The 21,529-nt window shown below is 45.2% G+C and overlaps 1 protein-coding gene across 1 annotated transcript in view, besides 7 other annotated features; it reads right to left on the bottom strand.

Moving 5' to 3' along the window:
* The window catches only part of NUAK1 (NUAK family kinase 1), a 75,610-nt gene that overhangs the window by 34,051 nt on the left and 20,030 nt on the right, over window positions 1–21,529 (bottom strand). Inside the window, exon 2 of the mRNA NM_014840.3 lies at window positions 9,010–9,130. Coding sequence (NP_055655.1) covers window positions 9,010–9,130 — 121 coding nt within the window. The remainder of the gene's footprint in view (window positions 1–9,009; window positions 9,131–21,529) is intronic.
* Window positions 1,233–1,818: an enhancer, noted in NCBI's record as "OCT4-NANOG hESC enhancer chr12:106492406-106492991 (GRCh37/hg19 assembly coordinates)". NCBI's record gives its function as "activates a minimal SCP1, AML or CMV promoter by ChIP-STARR-seq in primed H9 embryonic stem cells {active_cell/tissue: H9 hESC(primed)}" and the evidence as "EXISTENCE:reporter gene assay evidence [ECO:0000049][PMID:30033119]".
* Window positions 3,268–3,801: an enhancer, noted in NCBI's record as "H3K4me1 hESC enhancer chr12:106494441-106494974 (GRCh37/hg19 assembly coordinates)". NCBI's record gives its function as "activates a minimal SCP1, AML or CMV promoter by ChIP-STARR-seq in primed H9 embryonic stem cells {active_cell/tissue: H9 hESC(primed)}" and the evidence as "EXISTENCE:reporter gene assay evidence [ECO:0000049][PMID:30033119]".
* Window positions 9,482–10,227: an enhancer, noted in NCBI's record as "NANOG-H3K27ac-H3K4me1 hESC enhancer chr12:106500655-106501400 (GRCh37/hg19 assembly coordinates)". NCBI's record gives its function as "activates a minimal SCP1, AML or CMV promoter by ChIP-STARR-seq in naive and primed H9 embryonic stem cells {active_cell/tissue: H9 hESC(naive and primed)}" and the evidence as "EXISTENCE:reporter gene assay evidence [ECO:0000049][PMID:30033119]".
* Window positions 10,228–10,971: an enhancer, noted in NCBI's record as "NANOG-H3K27ac-H3K4me1 hESC enhancer chr12:106501401-106502144 (GRCh37/hg19 assembly coordinates)". NCBI's record gives its function as "activates a minimal SCP1, AML or CMV promoter by ChIP-STARR-seq in primed H9 embryonic stem cells {active_cell/tissue: H9 hESC(primed)}" and the evidence as "EXISTENCE:reporter gene assay evidence [ECO:0000049][PMID:30033119]".
* Window positions 10,972–11,716: an enhancer, noted in NCBI's record as "OCT4-NANOG-H3K27ac-H3K4me1 hESC enhancer chr12:106502145-106502889 (GRCh37/hg19 assembly coordinates)". NCBI's record gives its function as "activates a minimal SCP1, AML or CMV promoter by ChIP-STARR-seq in naive H9 embryonic stem cells {active_cell/tissue: H9 hESC(naive)}" and the evidence as "EXISTENCE:reporter gene assay evidence [ECO:0000049][PMID:30033119]".
* Window positions 17,797–18,373: an enhancer, noted in NCBI's record as "H3K27ac-H3K4me1 hESC enhancer chr12:106508970-106509546 (GRCh37/hg19 assembly coordinates)". NCBI's record gives its function as "activates a minimal SCP1, AML or CMV promoter by ChIP-STARR-seq in naive H9 embryonic stem cells {active_cell/tissue: H9 hESC(naive)}" and the evidence as "EXISTENCE:reporter gene assay evidence [ECO:0000049][PMID:30033119]".
* Window positions 18,374–18,950: an enhancer, noted in NCBI's record as "H3K27ac-H3K4me1 hESC enhancer chr12:106509547-106510123 (GRCh37/hg19 assembly coordinates)". NCBI's record gives its function as "activates a minimal SCP1, AML or CMV promoter by ChIP-STARR-seq in naive H9 embryonic stem cells {active_cell/tissue: H9 hESC(naive)}" and the evidence as "EXISTENCE:reporter gene assay evidence [ECO:0000049][PMID:30033119]".

Here is a 21,529-nt window from a genome sequence, read left to right on the forward strand (position 1 = left end):
TCAATACCTTTTTGTAAAACACATGAATGATTCAATGACTAAATAAGCAAATGAATGAATGAGAATAGTGGATAATGTTAAGGATCATTGATCTTGTTAGATCAGTTCAGCCATTCCCTGCCTTCAAAAGAACCTATATCAGGACCTGCTTGCAAATCTTCCTGCCTGAGAACCCTGGAGTAGCACAGTTGTGTCTGAGAAGAGAAACATAAACTGTTTGTAGATATTTCCAAGTAACTGATGCTAGAAATACAGCCCTGCTTTTGTTTCTAAGGAAACCAGAATCAATTATTTGGAAGGTTTTGCTTCTAACCTTCTCTGCAGGGGTTTTTCTAGTACAGTGGGGTTGTCAAATTTGGGTGTACATCAGAGACACGTGGAGGGCTAATGATTACTCTGGGTGCTGTAACCCACCCCCAGAGTTTCCAATTCAGCAGGTCTGGGGCTACCCTTTGAGAACTGCTGCTCAAATGCATTATTAAGCAGTTTACCAGGGGCCTGCCATTCTCAAGAGGTGATTTTCCAGGGGCACAGGATGGAGCAGCAACACTTTCTGATTCCAGGACCTCTGCTGGGTTCTGCAGAAACATCTTACACAAGCCCCACTGCCCCTGGCCACGAGCTGGGGGTCAGGGCAGGGGCTGGGGGCGATGCCGTGTACAATAAGGAATACAGGCTTTTCCACAGCCCCTGTCTCTTGATTTCTCTTCTGCTTCTCTGGATTTTTAGAGCAGTGATTTTCGCCAAGAGTGGTATCTCCTCCCAGAAAGACCTATCCAAATCTCAGGGAGCACAGGTAGCTTGCAAAAGCATATTGTAGTGCAATTTCTCTAGTAAGATGAGAGGAGCTTTTAACTGATAGTGCACTCATCCAAAGTGTCTTCATGGTGGGAATTCAGAGAATATTTGAGAATACAGACTTATTATAACTTATCTTCTCGTGGGCAGCATGCTTAAGGCTCACAGGGTGGGGGCATCAGATTCAAATGCTTATCAAAGGACGTGTTTGTCTATTTCGTTTCTTTTCAAGTTGGAGAAACACTTCCAACGGATGAGAGATCACAGTTAACAAATGCCAAAGAGGCTTCCTACTTTGTCCCAGAAAGCCAGGATCACCCTTATCTAAAATAGGAGAAGTGATGAAAGGGTTGGCCAGTTCCAGCACATCACAATGCAAAGAACCCATAAAGAGATGCAATCTTGCATGGCCAAGAGGAGAGATTTCCAGAAACCAAAACCAAGGGTGTCAAAGGGAAGTCACAGGCCGAATCTCCCCCACCCCTCCACCCACCTTTTCAATTTTATATGCCGGACTGTTACCAGATGGGATGCTAAAGATGTTTGTTCTCAGTGGTTTTGCAGATCGGGTCTCCTAGGCTTTCAAAGGGGAAGTGGGGGTGAGACAGTGCGCCTTTGATGTTTGAACTTCGGTCCTGAAATCAGAACCTCAGGCAAAAACTGTTTTTATCTCTTCCATCCTAGGCAACCCAGTTGAAAGCTCCAGTGGGCACTTCCTTTTCAGCTTTTTTTTCCATATTGTCAATTACCTCCCTGCTGAGAGAATGGAATTCCTTTGACTGGAAACAGGGGTCCCTCTTTGAGATGGTGCCAGAGATTTCTTTCTTTTCTCTTGATTAGGCTTTCCTTAGTATCACACACTGAAAAGTGTACGTCTATCCTCTTTTATTTACTTAGCATTAGAAGCCAGTTACGTTTGTATTTACACAGAGTTGACAAATTTGAGGGTTAATCACCTTCACCCATGGGTCAATAGGAGAGTTAACCCCAGGGTTTGGTTCAAGAAAGACACATTTGAAAGGAATTATTTTTGAGATTGGGTGAACAGCAGCATCACTTCAGTGAAGTCACAGATTTTATGGGCCTGGGGGTATTGTGATTATATAAAAATCAAATTTTCATGGTGTTCTGCAGTTTAGAAAACACTTGACCTATGAGTTTAACAGATTTGAACCCCAACCTTCTTCCTTGGATGCTGGCAGAAGTATTTTCTAAAATGCCTACAAAGCTAGGATTGAATGCTCTCAGATATGTAAGACAGTAACCTCTATGAAGACTGGGAATTCTACATATCACAGGGTCAAGAACAATACTTCCCTCCAGTTAGGGGTCTCTGCAGACCACCAAATGACCTGGTTAGTATCAGGAGCACCGAGTTCTGAGTGTTGCTGCCTGGGTTCACCTCTCGGATCCACCACTTATTAGTTGGTAACCTTAGAAAATGGACTTTGCCTCTAAAGCTGAATTTTCCTTACCATAAAATAGGGATCTTAACATTTCATATTTCCCAGATATAAGGGTTAAGTGAGATAGTACATGCACACCTCCTAGCCCAAGGTAAACACTCAATAACTCCTAGCTATTATTAGTACTATTTTATTTTATTTATTTTTGTGAGATGGGGTCTCACTCTGTCACCCAGGCTGGAGTGCAGTGGCACAAACTTGGCTCATTGCAACCTCCACCTTCCGGGTTCAAGTGATTCTCCCACCTTAGCCTCCTGAGTAGCTGGGACCACAGGCATGCACCATCACGTCCAGCTAATTTTTTGTATTTTTGGTAGAGACGGGGTTTCACCATGTTGCCCAGGCTGGTCTCGAACTTTTGAGCTCAAGTGAGGCCAGAGGATCTACCAAAAATACCTCACTTGAGCTCAAGAGTTCGAGACCAGCCTGGGCAACATGATGAAACCCCATCTCTACCAACATGACCTCCCAGAGTGCTGGGATTACAGGTGTGAGCCACCACACCCAGCCCTAGTATTATTTTAAAGGTATAAATCAAAAAATGCTACTTCCTCCTTTTAGCAGTTTCCCACCATTCCTGAAAGAGAATCCACACTCCTTCCTCTGGCCAGTGTGGTCCAGATCTAGCCCTCTCCACCTCCTTCTCCTACTACCCTTCTCCTCACCCCTGCCAACCTCCCAGATCCTTTGTCCCTTCTACCCATATAAGTGCCTTCTCTCCTCTGAGCATTTGCGCATGCTGTTCCCTTTGTATGGCATTCCCAGGACTCTGAAGTGTTTAGTCTCCGCTTCATTCAGATCTTCACTCAATAACCACTTACTCAAAAGTCCTTCAGCTCAAGGCTCAGTCCGAAAGGGACCGCCTGGTCTGTTCACTTTGTTGACTCTCTGTCTCCTCTCTTTAATGGCAGTTCCAAGAGGGACAGGAGCTTGCTTTGTTGGCCCTTGTATTCCTAGTGCCTAGAATAGGGCCTGGCACATAGTAAGCACTTTATTAGCATTTTTGTTAATGAATAAATCGCTTTTTCTCTAGAACTAGTATTTCAATATCACCGGTTAGTACAGCTCAAGATGATGGCTTCCTTTCATTAAAACCCACACTTTCTAAACATACAGGGTTAGGCACATCATTGCATTGTCATGTTGCTATTGTTGTTTTGTTGATGTTGTTGTTGTTGCTGTCACTATGTGTGTGTGCATTTGACTCTTTAATCATAAAGATCTTTGCTAAAGAAGACACTGGCAAGTTCTTTAACAGCTTCTACTCATTTGGCTAGTATCCAAATAGCCACTTTGGTGCCTTAGCATCAATTTCTTTCTAAGCAAATTAATGCATTTCTGCACCGAGCTAAGGCTCTTGATTGGCCTGTCGACCAACCGGCTTCCAGAGAGAAGGTTCCCCTCTCATTCTGTGAGTAGCAGGGAGACCAGCAGATGGGCTCACAGACTGGGGTCCCACCACCACTGCTGCCACACTCCTTGCCCCCACCACGCCCCCAGGTTGCAGCAGGGGCAGGTAGGGGCAGGATGGAAAAGGCCAGGCTGAGGTGGCCTGCAGAGCCAGCAAGAGAAGACACAGGATCAGAAATACGGATGAGGCACGACAGAGCAAGAAAACAAAGGGGACCAGGAGACCCATATGTCAGGGTCACCACGTAGCCATGACCCCCAGTGTGATGAGCTGAACTGCATCCCCGCAAAAACTCAGGCGTTGAAGCCCTAACACCAAGTACTTCAGAACGTGACCCTATTTGGAGACAGTGTCTTTACGGAGATAAGTTAAAATGAGGTCCTTAGCACAGGCCCTAATCCAATATGACTGGTGTTCTCATGAGAAGAGGAAATTTGGACACAGACACATGTGGTGGGAAGAGGTATGAAGACACAGTTAAAAGTCGGTCATCTATAAGCCAAGGAGAGAGGCCTGGAACAGATCCTTCCCTCACCACACTCAGACCAGAATTGTGAGAAAATATATTTCTGTTGCTTAAGTCACCAGTCTATGGTATTTTCTTACGACAGCCCTAACAAACTAATACATCCAGCAAGTCATTAAACCTTCTAGAGCCTCAGTTTCCACAACTGCAAAATGGGAATCCCTGGCCTGCCCACCTCACAGGTTTGCTGTGGGGATAAAAGGAGACCAGATGTGGGAGGCCTTTGTAAACTATGAAGAGTTCTACAGATGGCAGGATGTCTAACTTCACGTTCAGCGCTGGATCTTTGGGTCCTGCTGGGCAGGAAAGCAGATAAAGTCATGGGATCCTGGGACTGTGGTTCCCAGTGAGAGGTGTAGGAGCTGGAATACAGCCTTGGCAATCTCCTGCTCCCAACCCCCAGGGAAGGGAGGGGAGCTGCCCTCCTCCACAGTTATTTAGTGGATGTGGGAGAAACAGAACTTGCGTGGGAGAAGGGAAAGGGAACAGAACAGAAACTGGAGAGCTCTAAGAAATTAAAAGAAAGAAAAAGGACACATGTAAGACCCCGAGAGTTTTCTGGATAAAAACAACACCTTTTATTTGCATGATACCCTATAGGTCGCAAAACACTTGGAGGCACTGGATTCTCGTTAACCTACTTGAGGTCAGGAATGCCTTTGAGAGTCTGATGAAAGCTATGTACCCTCTCTCAGAAAAAAGTAACTCATGCACACAACACATGAAACATTATATAGCAGCACTGTCCGGCAGAACTTTCTATGAAGATGAAAATGTTCTGCAGCTATGCTGTCCCATATGGTAGCCACTAGCCTCCTGTGGCTACTGAGCACATGAAATGTGGCTAGTGTGACTGGGGAACTGAATTTTAAATTATTTTGTTTTAATTATTTTCCATTTAAATATCCACCTGTGGCTAGTGGCTTCTGTGTTGGACAGCATAGTTACATACTATTCCAAGGGATTCACAGATCCCTGCAGCTCATCCATGAAATACCTTGTCAATGGACCCCACGTTATGAACTATTTGTGATGATTACAGTGTCCTCATAATAATTATCTTTTTTGAGCTTACCAGATACATGTATCATGCCATTTAATCCTACTGAAAACCCCATGACAGAGCTAGAATGGTCATCCCCATTTTACAGATGTGATTACTGAGGCACTGAGAAGCCTACCATCTTACCCCAAGTGTTGTGCCTAGGTCACAGTGGAGGACTGGAGGCTGAAGCTCAAGACCTCCTGATGTGAGACCTCAAGTCTTCCTTAACTCCCTAAAACCTGTCCTAAGGGTTTCACCAACTGAAGCCCCAGCTCCCTCCTGAGGCCTTGATAGAAATTATTTCTAGTAACCTAAAGACCTTCCTCACACTGCTATGCATCTTTAAAGTGACAAGCAAGAGCCTTGAGGGCTTCTCTTCTCCTTAAAGCCTCCAGCCCGGTCTCTACTGAGGCCAACTTCACGTTGGTAACTAAATATTCTTCCGTTAAGGTTTGTCTCTGATCTTCTCTTTGCCAGGGGGATGGTTTCCTGTTCTCCATTCGTCCTGTCTGATTCCCAAGGCCACACAGGGCATGGTGCTGGTGAAGAAGTCAGGTTTCTCCATGTGGGACGCCAGCAACCACAGACTGCCTCTCAAATAAAGAACCTGGAACCTTCATGCTGAGAATGCACTCTCTTTCCCTTCCTGATAAAGAAGGCTCCTGCTCTGGGCCAAGAAATCCCAAAACACAATAGTGTTCTCAGGGCACAGGATTGTATGGCTCCACACCCTACAGGTCAATCCTTCACCATGGCCTACGGAGCTTAACGAAACTCACTTCCACTTCCACATTGTGTCTTTGTCTCTCTACTCACTTCCAACTTCTAGAAATTCCCCTCATTCACTGGACATATTCAGATTTTATCTTATCAGCCTGGAATTCTATTTTCCACAATTCTTCCCCTATCAAAAAATTCCTTCAAGACCCAGCCCAAATGCCATACATCTCCATGAAAACTTCCAATCCCCAAGCTTCCAGAACATGGTCCCAGAATATACTGCTTACATGCCTACTAATATGGTTTGGCTATCTCCCCACCCAAATCTCATCTTGAATTGTAGTTCCCATAATCCCTATATGTTGTGGAAGGGACCCGGTGGGAGGTAATTTAATCATGGGGACAGTTACCCTCATGCTGTTCTCGTGATAGTGAGTGAGTTCTCACAAGATCTGATGATTCTATAAGGGGCTTTTCCCCCTTTTACTCGGCACTTATCCTTCCTCTGTCCATGTGAAGAGGGAATGTTTGCTTCCCCTTCCACCATGATTGTAAGTTTCCTGAGGCCTCCCCAGCCTTGCAGAACTGTGAGTCAATTAAATCTCTTTCCTTTATAAATTACCACTCTTGGGCAGTTCGTTATAGCAGCATGAGAACAAACTACATTGCTACATAGCACTCTTTCCATACTGCCTTGTATTGCTTCTTTTTTTTTTTTTTTTAAGACAGGGTCTCACTTGGTTGCCCAGGCTGGAAAGCAATGGCACAATCTTGGCTCACTGCAACCTGTGCCTCCTAGGTTCAAGCTATTCTCCTGCCTCAGCCTTCCAAATAGCTGGGATTACAGGCACATGCCACCACAACCAGGTAATTTTTGTATTTTTAGGAGAGATGGGGTTTCACCATGTTGGCCGGGCTGGTCTCAAACTCCTGACCTCAAGTGATCCTCTTGCCATGGCCTCTCAAAGTGCTGGGATTACAGGCGTGAGCCATCATGTCCAGCCTGTATTGCTTCTTGAGTGTGGGATCTATGTTGCTTCTTGAGTGTGGGGTCCATATCACATTCAGCTTTCAAATTTCTAACTTCACTGAACAGAGTGCTTAACACGAAGTAGACACTCCACTCAGTAGACTAGTGGTTCTCAAATTTGTTGAAACACAGATTGCTGAGCCCCACCCAGAGAGTTTCAGATTCAGCAGGTCCTGGGTGAAGCCTGAGAATCTGTATTTCTAATAATCTCAAGTGATGCTCATGCCACTAGCCCAGGCACTTTGAGAAGCACTGTAAGAGGTGTTTGTGATGTAAATAAAAGATAGAATGGATAAAAATTTCCCTTAAAAATCCTATCACCAAGGGCTCCAAAAATGAGCCTTCAAATGACCAGGATAAAAGAAATATATTACCAACATTTACTTCTAGATAAGAGGCAAAAATAGAAGCAGCAGAAAAAAAGAATGGCAAAAAAAGATCAGGGAACCAGATGAAAAACGAAAACTATCAGAAAAACTTTAGGGACACCACTGGTTGGTTTCCTTTTAGCCCAACCTGATAACTTCTTATAATCTGACCACGAATTAAAAATAAGTTCATTTTTCTTTTTTTTTTTTTTTAAACAGAGTCTCACTCTGTCACCCAGGCTGGAATGCAGTGGCACGATCTCAGCTCACTGCAACCTCCGTCTCCCTAGCTCAAGTGATTCACGTGCCTCAGCCTCCTGAGTAGCTGGGACTACAGGCATGCGCCACCACACCTGACTACTTTTTGTATTTTTAGTAGAGACGGGTTTCACCATGTTGGCCAGGCTGGTCTCGAACTCCTGACTTCAAGCCACCTGCCCACCTCAGCCTCCCAAGGTGCCAGTATCACAGGCATAAGCCACTGCACCCAGCAATAAGTTCATTTTTCAGCCACATATTTTTAAATATTCTAGGGAAACACTCTGACTCAGTAAAACCAAAATTGGGAAATTTTCATAAGAAAATAATCAGAAATGAATGTCAAAATGATGCACAAGGAGAGTTGTGAAGCCCTGTTTATAATAACCAGAAATTTGGAACAACTTAAGTGTTTGGCAAAAGAAATTAGATTCAATAAATTATGGTATGTCCATAAACAGAATGCTATAAAACCTTTTCAAATGTCCTTACAGGGGAATATTTATTGATACAGAAAAGATGCACGAGACAACAAATGAAAAAAGAATCAAGCTAAAAAACAGTTTAAATAGCATGATCTAACTGGACAAAAACCACAAATAGATACAGAGAAATAGATAAATATAGAGATATGGATAGAGAGCTATTTATCAAATTGGGAGTTAGAACAGAAATTATTTTTTAATTTTAACATTTCGATTTCAATCATTTCTACAATAAACACATACTGCTGTGTAATTTATTTACAGGGTCTTAAAACATAAATGATAGTCTGTGGGCGGTTTATTCTCTCCATTTCTTCTCATGAAGGACCAAGGAGTTGAACTGAAGCCTGAGCGTCTGTATAAGCTTTTCCCCATGCTGCTCTTTTTTGCAAACACCAACACAATTTGGGCTCCATTTATAAGGCATCTGCTGCACCAACCCTCTTTCTTGGTGCTTACTGGACCTGCTCAGGGTTAATTTCTAACTCAAAGAACCTAACTTGGAGTAACTCCGTACCACCAGCAAAGCGACTGGCTTTGGGGAATGACATTTACAATGTATCCACTGTTATTTGGTCACCCAGCAAACTGTCATTTTTCAGAAACCAGGGCTGTCTCACAAACTGGCTTTCAATAAGGTGGGTTGCTTAGCAACTGCCAAGGAATTAAGAAGACAGAATAAGGTATCCGCCAGAGATATTTTATGACCAAAATGAGCTGCACTCATGTGTCTGGTTGTGTTCAAGGTAACCAAGTAAGAGATAACACCCGACTATTTTTGCATCATGAGGAAAAATACTTGGCTTCTGCCCAGAAGGGCAATTATCTCAAAGTCTTGGCAGGCCCCATGGTATGAGAAATGGTAACTGATATGGGGGTTAAAAAAAAAAAAAATCACTGACCTTCATAAATACTGATGATATGAGGATGGTTGAGAGATGACATGATCTCAATCTCTCGTCTGATGTGAACCATGTCTTGTTCATCCTTAATTTTGTCCTTACGAATGGATTTTATAGCAACCTATAAAGTCAGGAAATGAAATGTTATTCAGAGAGCTAAACAGATGCAAATCAGCCATTGGGGGAGTTTGGAAAATAAATACAGATGTTACTTGTTGGCAGAACTGACAATAACCAAAACAAAGCTTGGAAATGCCCCCTTGTCATGTCTTTCATACACAGCAAAAACACCCTTCTCCTGGCAACAGAAAACATCAGGTTTGACAGCCTGGGATTTGTGATGGTGGTTTTGTTTTTGTTTTTGTTTTGTTTTGTTTTTGTTTTTTCATAAAGCAGAGGCTGCTTAACATGGCCAGAGTCGTTTACTCGAAGAACCCTGATGCTTTGAAAAAAGAAAAAAAGGCAAGTTCAGTTTACAGGGTACTGATGATTAAACATGGTTAGGTGAAATTGGTACCACTCAGTTCCACTGTGCAGCTGCCACAGCAGTGGCTATAAAAAATCATTACTGCCTGGCCAACCTCGAGGCCAGCTCTGCCTCAAGCCTCGGCTTTTAAGACTCCAGGCTATGCTGTGTTTACGCAAGGGCTCAGAAGCGAATTCCTTCCTACATCCTTCCTCTTGCCCAAGCCACCTTCAATAGCACATGGTATGACCAGAGGGCTCTTCTGGAGACAAATCAGGGTAAAACAAAGGTAGTGACAGCTCATCTCCCTGCCCGGCCCCTGTCAATTCCCAAAGCTCAGTGCCAATGTTGCAAATGCAAACTGCAGAGACCTGCCAGGGCCAACACATGGAGCAATTACTCAAAAGAAACACACCGAGAAAAAGGCAATGAATGACAATAGGAACCTAATAAGGAAAAGTGTGTTCGCCAATGGATTCATCTTTGCTCATAAACAAGCTGGTCAGTAACTTAATCAGATTGGCTCTAAGGGGGCCAAAAACTACTTCAGGAAGGGAGTATCCACGGGTAACAAAGAAGCCCACCAATCAATTTGCTGCCGGATCAGAAAGCCTGCCTAGTTCCCTTCCAGGCTGGTCCTCTTGTGACCTCAACTCTCACCTGTGGAGGTCAGGTAAACTTTCCTAGGGGAAAGGCAGCTAAACCATCCTTCTGGATTATAAAGGCATACAGTCATCTGGAGCAAAGAAAGTCCTCATTATCAGCAGCCCACGGCCACACCTTGCCTATCACACAGTCAACCCCAGCCAGCCTCAGCAGGAATATATTCACTTTTAGGAGCACGTGCTACTTCTGACTTGTACCAGCTCTCCACCAAGCACTACAAACAAAAACATTTCTAAAATGCATCAGTCCATCTATGACTCAACAAGAACTGGGTAGCTGTTATGACTGTTTTTGCTATGTATTGACCTCCCAAAAGACAGGTTATGTCTGACTAGCAGCTCCTGGGATTTCTCCTTTGCAGTCCTTACCCCAGTTGTGATTAAATCAGCATTTGTGTCTTTACTTGACTCTACACTGGTAGGGATCTTATTCACTGCTTTATTTAACTTCCAGTCCTTAACACCATGCTTGGCATACGGTAGACCCGGGAAAACATTTAGTGTAGGCAGGTAGGCAGGTAGATAAAAAACGAAGGAAAGATGAAGGGAAGGAGGAAAGGAGGGAAGCTAGAGGGAGGGGAGGGTTGCTGTTATTAATTGATGCAAGCTCAGACCAGAGAGGTGGTAGCAGAACTGGGGAAAAAAAAAGGGGGAACCACCCCAGTTAAATAATACTGCCACGACAAGCATAATAGTAAGAAGATTAAGAATTCCTTTAACATCTATCTACACAGGCAATAGAGGAATAGCTAAACAAATATAAAACACAGGGGGCCCTGCTGTAAACCCAGGGGCAGGCTCCACCTCCCTTCGACCCTGGGTGGACCCATGGCTGGATAGAAGGAGGCTGCATGGAGATGAATGAGCCTTCCAGCTTAAAGGCCCCTTTTCAGCAGAGAGCCAGACTCAGAGCTACCCCAAGTCCTCACCACAGCCCCATTCAGTATAGGGCAAGAAAAACTTCCCTTCACTTACGTCAAATGTAAAGATATGACTGGATGGCTTTATTTTATCTGAGGAAGGGCTGTAATCCTGGGACCTTGTTCTGGGAGGAAGCAGACAGTGAACACACACAGGCTGTGGAGGGTGTGGGTGGCTGCTGGAACAACTCCTACATTCCTCCATAAACTAAAGATGGCCGAGGGTAGAAACCACCCCTTTGATTATGCAGCAAGCTGAACTTGGCCTCAAGGAGGCTCTATTGTCAAGTTACAATAGGCATAAATTCTTCACCATGCAGGGTCAGAGGAGGGTAGCAACATTCTAAAGGGTAAAAAAATAGGCCCACTTGCTGATTCCCCCTAACAGTCCAGCGAGGCGGAGGGTCCCATGGTGCAATCGCCAGGGGATGCTTTCAGCTGGGTGTGAAAAGGAAAGTGCCCACATTCTCATCAAGCCTTGCTCAGCACTGAGGAAACTAAAAGGGCTCCATAAATGTTAATAAGCATAGTGGCTGTCTCTCCACAAAAATTTTCCCTTTTCCTACAATGATTTTTCCACTGAAAATGTAAAAGAGGGTGCATTCTGCTCCCCTGTTTCAAAGGGGTGACAGGAAGTCAGGAGGAGACAAATGCTAGAAATCACTCTCATCTGTGCACCTGCCAAGGCTGGAGGGAAGACATTCAGCTCTACTCCCAGAGTGGTGGCGGACCCATCCAAGGTTCAGACAGCCGGTTAATGACAAAACAAAAAAGCACTACTACTACTAATAGTAATGGCCAGTATTCATTAGCCACTTAATATATGGAGCAGACACCGTGCTGAATGCTTTACATGCCAGGGATCTTTGCACCCTTCTCATTTAAGCCTCAGCTTCACACCACCCTCTCAGGGAGATCCTTCCTGATCCCTCTAGCTGATAAGGCCACACTTATGGCCACCTCCCTCTCTCTATACCCTTCCCATTTTATCTTCTCTGGAGCATTTCACACCAACTACTTTATTAGCCACATATTCAGCCTGTTTTTGTAGGACCCAGGGAGCTAAGAATGATTGTCATATTGTTTAAGGGTTGTTAAGGAAAAAAAAAAAAAAAAAAAGAAAATCTCTAACGCAGCTCCTGCAAAAGTATCTGCTTCAGGAAGTTGAAGGATACACTGAGCCAGTGCACAGACAGTATTGCATAATGCTTAGGAACATGGCTTTAAGTCCAGGCTAAAATCACCCTCTAGCTGTGTGACCCTGGGCAGGTTACATAACCTCTCTGTGCACCAGTTTTCTCATTCATCTAGTAGAGAAATAATAGTACCTGCCTCATAGGTCCTGGTAAGGATTACACATCAGGTGCTCAAGAATACACCTGGGCCAGGGGGTAACTGCTAAATAAGTGTCAGTCTTTTTTAACCCAGAGTGAGTGTTCTGTAAGTAGAACCTTCCCTTCTTCCTTTCTTTTTCAGAGCAAACTTGAATTCCTCCTGGCTCCTCAAGAGACAGTGAGTGGAGGTCTTAGGGACATGTTTTCATAGTACATAAAGGACAAGAGCATCTCCATCCTGGGTCTTTACATTGCAACCTCATCTGAAATCAGGAAGATCAGATCAGCTGGTTACACACCATTATCAGCAGGGCTCCTGAGTCCAAACCAGACAGGAGGATGAACATCTTGAACCCAAAAAGCAATCCCAGGAGCATTTCTCCACCCGCTCCCACACTGTCTCCTTTCACCATTCAGCTGAACAGGGCACAAATATGTTCCTACTTAAAATCAAAACTCAGCCTCAAGATATTCACACTTCAGCCTTTATGAAATTTGACTGTTCATCCACTTGTTCTTTTTGAAAACCTACCAAGTACCGGCTACACAAAAGGGAGCCAGCGCGACTGCTCCAGCCCTCAAGGTGGGAGGTGGGGTGGGGAGGGTACGGGCAATAAGCAAAACTCACACCAGTAATTACATAATTACCCTCATGGCCAGGGCTACCAAAGAAATGCACAGACATGCCCGGCATTGCGGAGGAAACCTCCTCTCCAGTTTTCCTCAATTCTCACATCTACAAAGAAACACAGAGGTAAGGAAGGGGCCCAGCAGGAAGAGATTACCAAATGTCTGAAATCACACACCCTCCACCCCTAAAAATCCCATTTGTTCCTGTACAAGTCAGAGAGCCTGAGAGGAGGAGGGAACTCAGGTGTTTGAGCCCGACTCACAGTACAGCCACATTCATAAATGTTCCCAAGTCTAGACAGTACCATGTGCCTTATAAAATGGTCTGCTTTTAAATAAGGCCACCTTATGGTTTAATGTTTAAACCTTCTGCAGCAGCAGGTTTGGTGGAGAACCTGTGAATCCCGCCCTGCAGTGCCTGCCTGTTTCAGAGGCAAACTCAGCCCAGCCAATTCTGTTACATGCAACAGGCACAGCCTCCTCTTGAGGGTTGGAGGTTTTTCCTTTTTTGAATAATCACCAAAAACCACCTGCTCTGTGGCCTGCTGGGCATCCTCTCCCACATTGGCTGCTGTGGGTGTTCAGAGCTTGGTGACCTAGGAAGGGCTGGGGGATGCAGAGTAGAAGAGTAAATGCTCAGACTGTCACCGGCTGGGTGACCTCAGGCAAGCCCAAACTTCCCAGGTCTCGGTTTCCTCACCTGTAAAATGGGGTTACAAAATCCTGTTTCTTGGGGTTGTTGTGAGGAGTGGAAACTAGGTAAGTAAAGGCCCCAGCACACAGTATTCACTGAATGGCAGTGATTATAAACCACACTTAAGAGGTAATGAGCCCACAGCAAATCATATCATAGGTCTCTTGGCTCCTCTCCACCCCCACACATATCCTCCCCTCCCCACATTTGCACAGTGGCAAAAGCAGGTTAAAATTAATATCCGGCCAGCCCCAGGGTGTCCTGGTGTCTTATGGAGAGGACGCCTGTGTAGTGTAGGACCAGCCTTGGGGGCGTGGCAGAGAGTCTGGGCAGGTTGTATGTCGTCGAGGCTCTAACCAAGAGAATCCCTGCCCTCCTCCTTTTGCAACCATCTCCCTGCATGCTCATTCATTGATATAAGCTGGACTTCAAGGAGTATTCTTGAAGTGCCTCTCAAATAGGAGTCACCCATGCATCTTGAAAAAGTGCAGATTCTGAATCCATAGGTCTGGGTATCCAGCCTGGGATTCTGCATTTCCAGCAAGGTCCCAGGTGATGCCAGCCCCAGGGACCACACTTGGAGTAGCCAGGTCTTAGTGCTTCGTCTTTGACCCTCAACATTTTTAAATCAGTGGCAATATTCTTAATAATAGCAATAATTAATATTTCTTAGGTGTTAATCATGTGCCAGTGGACCTTATCTCATTTAAGCCTACCTACAATCCTATTTTACAGATGAGAACATTGAGGCCAGGAAAGATAAATATTTCCCAAAGTTACATAGCCTGTAAAAAAAAAAAAAAAAAAAGTGGAGCTAGAATTCGAGCCCAGAGGCTGCTGATTTTTAAGGCTATGAATAAAGTTGGGATGAATAGAAAACATCACAGGGAACAGAATCTCCTGTAGGATCCGAAAGGGTCCCTAAAGCCTAGTGAGATGGACCCCCCTCCAAGCAGATGAAGTTTTACAGGGTCATATGTGAGGTCCCAAAAGGAGGGACTGGAGGGCTGAGCAGCAGGGAAGAAACACAGTCATAAATATGGCATTAGCATCACTTAGTGAGAACAAGTTTGCATCCTAATCCCAGCAACACGAGCTGGCAACTTCCCTGCCATTCACAAGGTGTGATCTCATACCCAGGCACGTTCCACGGGAGCTGCAGGGCACGAAGTCAGAGGCAGCTCAGGGGATCTCTCCTTACCTAGGAGCCCAGAGGCCGCCTGCAGCAGGAGCAGGCAGCCAAGCCCGGCTGGAGGCTGTAAAGTGCTCCTGCTCTTGCCTGGGAGATGCACAGAGTGTGGGGCAAGGCACAGCCCCACCGAGGCCACACCGGTCCAAAGCTCCCAGGATCACCATGTGGCTTTCACTCAAAAAGCCTCTGGCCGAGGACAGTCACCACGGTGATGCCACCCATCTTGCAAACAAAGCCCCTAATTAATTAAATGACCCCGGGCTCTTTATGGAGGGGCCTGGCCAACTCAGAACAACACCCCAGCAAGTTGCTGTGATGCAACGGGCCCCATGGGAACCAAGCCAGCTCTGCCTGGGGGCCCATGGGCCTCTTCTTCCCTTCCTCTTTAGCCTGTTGGTTCATGTCCTACATGAATGTATTTCAGAAAGAAATGGATTGGAAGCCAAGAGTTGTATCAACAGGCTCTGAGGCGAGGCACTGAAGCCAGGGAGCATGGTATGTGTAGCTAGGAGCTTTTCCTTCAAAGAGTGGCATCCCCTCACTGGCCCTCATCAGCCCTTTAATGTTGTAAGAGGTTCTGAAAATTTAATCCTCTGTAACTTGGTTCTCAAACCTCTATTTCTCAAAATTCTACATAAAAGAGATGATGATTCCTGTGATGATATTGATTTCTCTCCTGCCATAAAAAATGCATTCTATTTTCAGAACATAAAAAACAAAGCAGATTCGTGCTTGACTGGGCCTGGGCCAGCTCAGGAGGACCTCAGGGCTGGGACATTTTTATCTACAGGGACAGTCATTCCTTGGTCTCTAAGACTCACCCCCACCCCTCTCCCCTTCAAAGACTGAGCTAAGAATGTCATTGCAAGTGGTGATGCCACAAGGGAAGTGGAATTAATGACTAAGAAACCGTGGGCAGATTCACACTCCCTGTTGAGGTTTGTAAACATAAGATACAAACCGTGGCTGACCAGGCAAGAACCAAAGAAATAGCAAAAAGGCCACCGGAAAGTTCGTGCTGAGTGGGCATGCCAAAAGTGAGCCACAAACCCGCCTGAAAAGGACAGTCAGAGACTCTAGAGCACTATCTGTCCAAGGGTGGTGAGCAGATCACCTGCCTCCGATCCCCTGGTTAGGGGGAAAGGGGAAACTGATTGCTAAAATGCAGATTCCTGGGCCCACCCCAGAGCTAGTGAATGAAGGTGGCAGTGTTCAGGGTAGGGGGCAGACCTGGTATCAGCATTCTTTACAGCCTCCCAGGTGATTCTGCTGCACTCTGAGGTTTGAGAGCAGTCACCTTAAAGCAGGGTAAATGTGGCCCTGACGACACCTATTGTTCTGTAGCTTAAACAGGAAGCAGTTATATTACATACTAGATGACTGATGAAAATTAATGAACCTTCCATTTATACACAGAGGAATTAAACACAGGCTTCCTTGAGGGGGCTCAGTGACTTGAATTAATTTACCCCTGGTAAATGGAAAGTTTGCTTCCAATGGGTATCTCCCTAGTCCCAGCCCAAGGAGGGCCTGTGGATGAAGTGATGCCAGGGAATGTGGGTGTGGATGGGTTACTTCACAGTCTACACATAACCCGGAGCACGAAAAAGCCTCTGGTAACACAAGAGACGCTAACACAGACAATATCAGATTCAAAGAAAGACTGAAAATGCCAGGCCATTTAGCTGAGACTGGAGTTGCCAAGCAGCTGTTTATTTTTGGACGTTCACGTCTCTGAAGCCAAATGCAACACCAAATCAGAATTCTAAAGTGCAACTGTTTTTCTTCCAGGTTACAATTGCCCTGGGAAGGGAGAGAAAGGGCTGGGCCAGAGGGCTGAGGTTGCTTACAACTTGGACAGCCTCAACTGGTAGCATCTGATCACTCTGACACTGTTTATAACAAGGCTTGGATAAGCTTAAGGTTGTGCAACTTTTATTTATCAACCTCCAAACCCAGAAGAACCCGAGCCAGTACTGCTAAGAAATCCAGCATCTGCACCTTGGGCTTGTCATCAGTCACAGCAACCCAGCCAAGGCGACTCCTATAAGGAGAGGGACTCGGATAATCACGCCACCGGCTCAGTTTCCTCACCTGCAAATGAGGATGATGATGGTACCAACCTCACAAGGTTGCTGTGGCAACATGGCAGATTGTGTATATGATGGAAGGCAGAGAAGGCAAATAGTACCTACGGCAGAAGCCAAAATGAGGACTGTTATCATGAGTAGATGTTAGAGCTGTAAGGACTTAGAATGCTCTATGCCAATCTCCTCATGTTACAGATGGGGAAACTGAGTCCCAGGGAGGTTAAAGTACATACAGGCCCCAAGTTCACGAAGTTATCAGCAGCACTGGAATTGCAACAAGAGAGTCCTGATTCCCACTCCAGGAGGGATAAACACTCTGAGCAAGGGGTCCTTCCTAATCAAATACTAAGCCACAGTGAGCAGCAGGGCTGAAACTGCCACAAAAAAAATTCAACATTTACATGGGAGGCTGGCTCCAGTCACAGCCAAGTCCCCAGAACTGTTGCATCATTAATAAACCGAGATGGGAGTGGCAGATACTCTTCAGGGTGCTGACAAATCATGACTTGTGCTGCAGCTTGGTGTATTTCACCTCCATCTAATGTCTGTCCTCACATAGCTATGCCAGAGACGCTGTTTTCAGTTCAGTTCTATCCAAACTTTCCTCCAATTTCTGAAGACTGATTTAATATCACCCATGAATACGCATACTTGGGAAGTTTTCATCCTATTATTTCTTAATTCATTGCAAACACTGCTATTAAATGATAACTTCAGGCCACTACTGAATCACTAACCTTGGGGACAATGAGCTAGGAACACAAAAACCTAAGAAGCAAAATTAGTTTTCCAAAGGGAAAGGAAATTAGTCAGTTGAGTTTAGCTGATCCAGGTGAGCAGAACCAAAAAAACTTTTCTTCATTTCTTAATATGGTAAAATACAACAAGCTAAAAAGAGGCATGACTTTCTATCTTATTTTATATTCTAATCATGAATGGTTTTATAAATAAGTGAAAGAGAAGATTCTGCAGAAGTTATTTTTATCCAGACAGAATCTCTTCTGTTTAGAAAACTGATTTATAGCAATGTACAAGACCTATCAGATAGGGCGGGAGCAACCGTGCAGGCTGCAGTCCGTCCCCCAAAGCCTCTGGAGAGCACTCAGGAGCCCCCGAGGCCTCTCTCATTATCTCCTCACAAGCATCTTTTTCCTTCCAAGAGAAGCTCTCATTGTCCATTATTCCTAGAGTTAAAAGGCTGGTCCCTCCTCCCCAGCCCGTTGCAAGATCCATCGGGAGGCTTGTCATCTCCCTCATTAGTGCTCCACAAGCCTGCCTGCTGGGATGCTCTTGCTCATTGCAAATGCACAGCCCCAAGAAACCGCAGGCTGAGCTGAGGAGTGTGCTCGGCCCCAGACGAGCATTTCCTGCCGTCCCATCATGGGGATGAGCCTCGCCCAGTACTCAACTCTCAGTTCCTACCCTCAAGGAGGCTGGGGCAGGGGTCTGTGGTCATCTTGGAGACCCTAGTTGTGCCCTGGGTTGGGGAGTGTGCTCATGCCCCTAGACATGGCACCTGCCATTTTCTCTGCCAGGATCCTCCACATCCTGTCCTCGCCATTAACATTTTCGGTTGACCAACTCCTCTGCATCCATCTGCTGCAGACATGGCCCATCCCCTGCAATGACCCCTTTGCAGATATGGGTCCCCTTTTATAACCTCGCTCACCATTGCTCATAAGCTTCATTTGCACGAAAATCATTTCTGTTTTATGCACCACGGCATCTCCAGTACTAAGCATGTGCCTAATGTACAGTATATACAAAAAAGCTGTTGCTAAAATGGAGCCCAAGTATTAAGAAGGACCCTTGACAAACAGAAAACCATAGTGGGACATCTGATCATTCCAGCCAACCTAAACCCCAGCCATCTGCCGCTGAGCCTTCTTTTACTTGCTCACCTTTCAAACGTGGAATCCCTTCTTGTCCCAAAATCACTGAGCCTGAACTTCCTCATCTTCCAAATGGAGACAATAACAGTGCCCACTCCAGAGGGGTTGGGGGTGATTCACAATAAAAGCTAGCAGTCATAATAATTACCAGTTATCAAGCCCTCACTATGTGCCAGGCCCTCAGTACCTTTCTGTTAAGCCTCTCAACCTCTCACTCATTAAATTCTTACAAAAACATTATTATTTCTGCCTTCTCAATGAATATAAACTGAGTCTGAGGGAAGTTAAGTAACGTGCCCTAAGGCACATAAATAAATAGGAGGTCTGGGTCTCCATACGCTGAAAGACCATACTCTTAACCTCTGAAGCACACTGACAAAGCAATCAGCACAGTGCCTGGCACATAGTAGGTGTTACATAAATATGAGCTGAATCAGAACCTCTGGACATGAAGGCCCCATCGAGGCCGCACTGCCTTGTCCCCACCAGAAGTCCTTTTGTTAGCTAATATTTAAACCACTTCCATCTTCAAAAGCACATCTATCAATCAGTGTTCCTGCTGCTTTCTGTGGGACCAGGTGGGCAAAAGGCAGAATTGTATGGGAGGGGCTGGGAGGCATGTCCCTAAAACGATGTGAGAATGAGTCGATTCCACAGCAAGCAATTGTGGAAAATCTGTTCTGGATAAGGCATTGATCCAGTCCTAGAGAACATGAACTAGACCTACCCTTCAAGTTGCCTACCATCCTACTGGAAAGGCCAGTAGACACAGGGGCTCCTCCCTGCCCAGCCCCTCCCTATTCACTCTCCTTTTGGGAGGAACACCCTGACTTCACTGTGAGGACTATTCCTACCCCCAAGATGCCTTTTGAAAGAGACCAAGATACTTCACCCTCTCCCATGCCAACAGGCAGGCACACAACTCTAGAGCTAGCCCTGGAGATGCTCTTTCTAAGGTTTCAAGAACCATCCCAGCAAAGTGTTCTTTTGGGAGCCCACAGACACATGATGTGTATGCACACAGATGGGGCCTCTTGAGAAGTCATTCCATGCATGGCTCCCCCATTTCTATCCCTGTGTCTTTCTCACACTCCTAAATAACTATCAGTTCAAACCAGAAAACCGAGTCTCACTTTGCTCAGCTATTCATTTTCCCATTTCCAAAAAAAGCCAAGGCAGTGTTGCTGCTGCTTCTCTCTCACACTGCGTGCCTTACACTCAGTCATCTCCTCCATAAAATGGGCCTACTTCACTTGACCGGTACTAGTTGAAATGCAGTCTTCAGGACCCACATAGATGTCATTTTTATAATAACTTCGTCAAACACCACAAAAATACAATATCAAATTATTGTGGAGCTTCATCCCATTTCAGGGGAGGGATTCAGTAAGGATAACATTGACCTACTTTGCACAAAGGTGCAGGAAGTCCAGCTTCATTCTCTGCCAAATAATGTTCACACCTACAAACTATTTACCTGCCACTGTCCATGCTACACAATGACAGTCAGTATATAGCCTAACAAAAGGGAAGGTCATTCATTGTCAATGCCCCAGACATAGCAAGCAGAGACTGCAAGCCAGGAACTGCTGTGTTCCCCTCTGTGTCCTCAATATCTAGGAAAGGATCTGGCTCTATAGTAGTAGACTTCCAATAAATATTTGTTGAGCTTAATTTTATAAAAAATGATGACTATCGTAAGTCTTAATTTGTATAAGAATTATTCCTTTCTTACCTATCCACCCACTACCTGGCCCAATATCTACAAGTTGCTGAAGTCGGGCAGTCTACCCAGATTCCACTCTGGTCCAAGTTGCCTCTGTACTTGTGGCTAAGACCACAAATCCATGGAGGCAATACCATGCTGTATGAATGGCCTCCCACCTATAGATACAATGTCATCCCACTTCATTTTATTGCCCCCACCACCACCCCATGAGATAAGCTAGAAATTTTGCAGGAGAGGAAAACAGAAACCAACAAGAACTCCCCAAGTTTCCACAGGTCACAAAGGCCCCACCCAAGTTTCAACCCAGGTACTTGGATCCAGTGGCCAATGCTGCTTCCACTGGACCACGCCTGTTTCCACATTTGTCAAATCTATGGAAATATGTGGTAAGGAAGAAAACACTCTTAGCCCTGGCATTGTGATGCTTCCTTTCTCTGGAATGTAAAGCCTTGGGGGAAACTAGCTCAGATAGCAGATTGCTCAAATGTCGTGGAAGGTCTGGTCGGGGAGCTAATCAGAACAATTTGAATGTGCGGCTAAGCAAGGACACTCCTTCCTGGATCAAGCGTTGCTTTGATGGCAATACTTTATAAGAACCATTCCCTTACAACAAAACTGTCAAATCCAGCAACCACAGGCCAGAAACATCCCTGCGGAACCCCGCCAAGCTGCTTTCTGATGTACTGTACACACAAATACCAATATTCCCCAGATGTTCTCCATGTAAAACATTTGGTTTGAGACACTGCTCTTCTTTCCCAAAAACTCTTACATTTGTTTAATGGACTCATACAGTTCAGCTAAAATATCCTGGAGCAGACATCTGAAGCCAGCCCGGCTCTAATGTGAGCATCCCATCTGCAGAAAAGACGAACAAGTAAATAAGACCATCCTTCCCAAGATTTATG

This window comes from Homo sapiens, chromosome 12, assembly GCF_000001405.40.
Source record: "Homo sapiens chromosome 12, GRCh38.p14 Primary Assembly".
Taxonomy (NCBI): domain Eukaryota; kingdom Metazoa; phylum Chordata; class Mammalia; order Primates; family Hominidae; genus Homo; species Homo sapiens.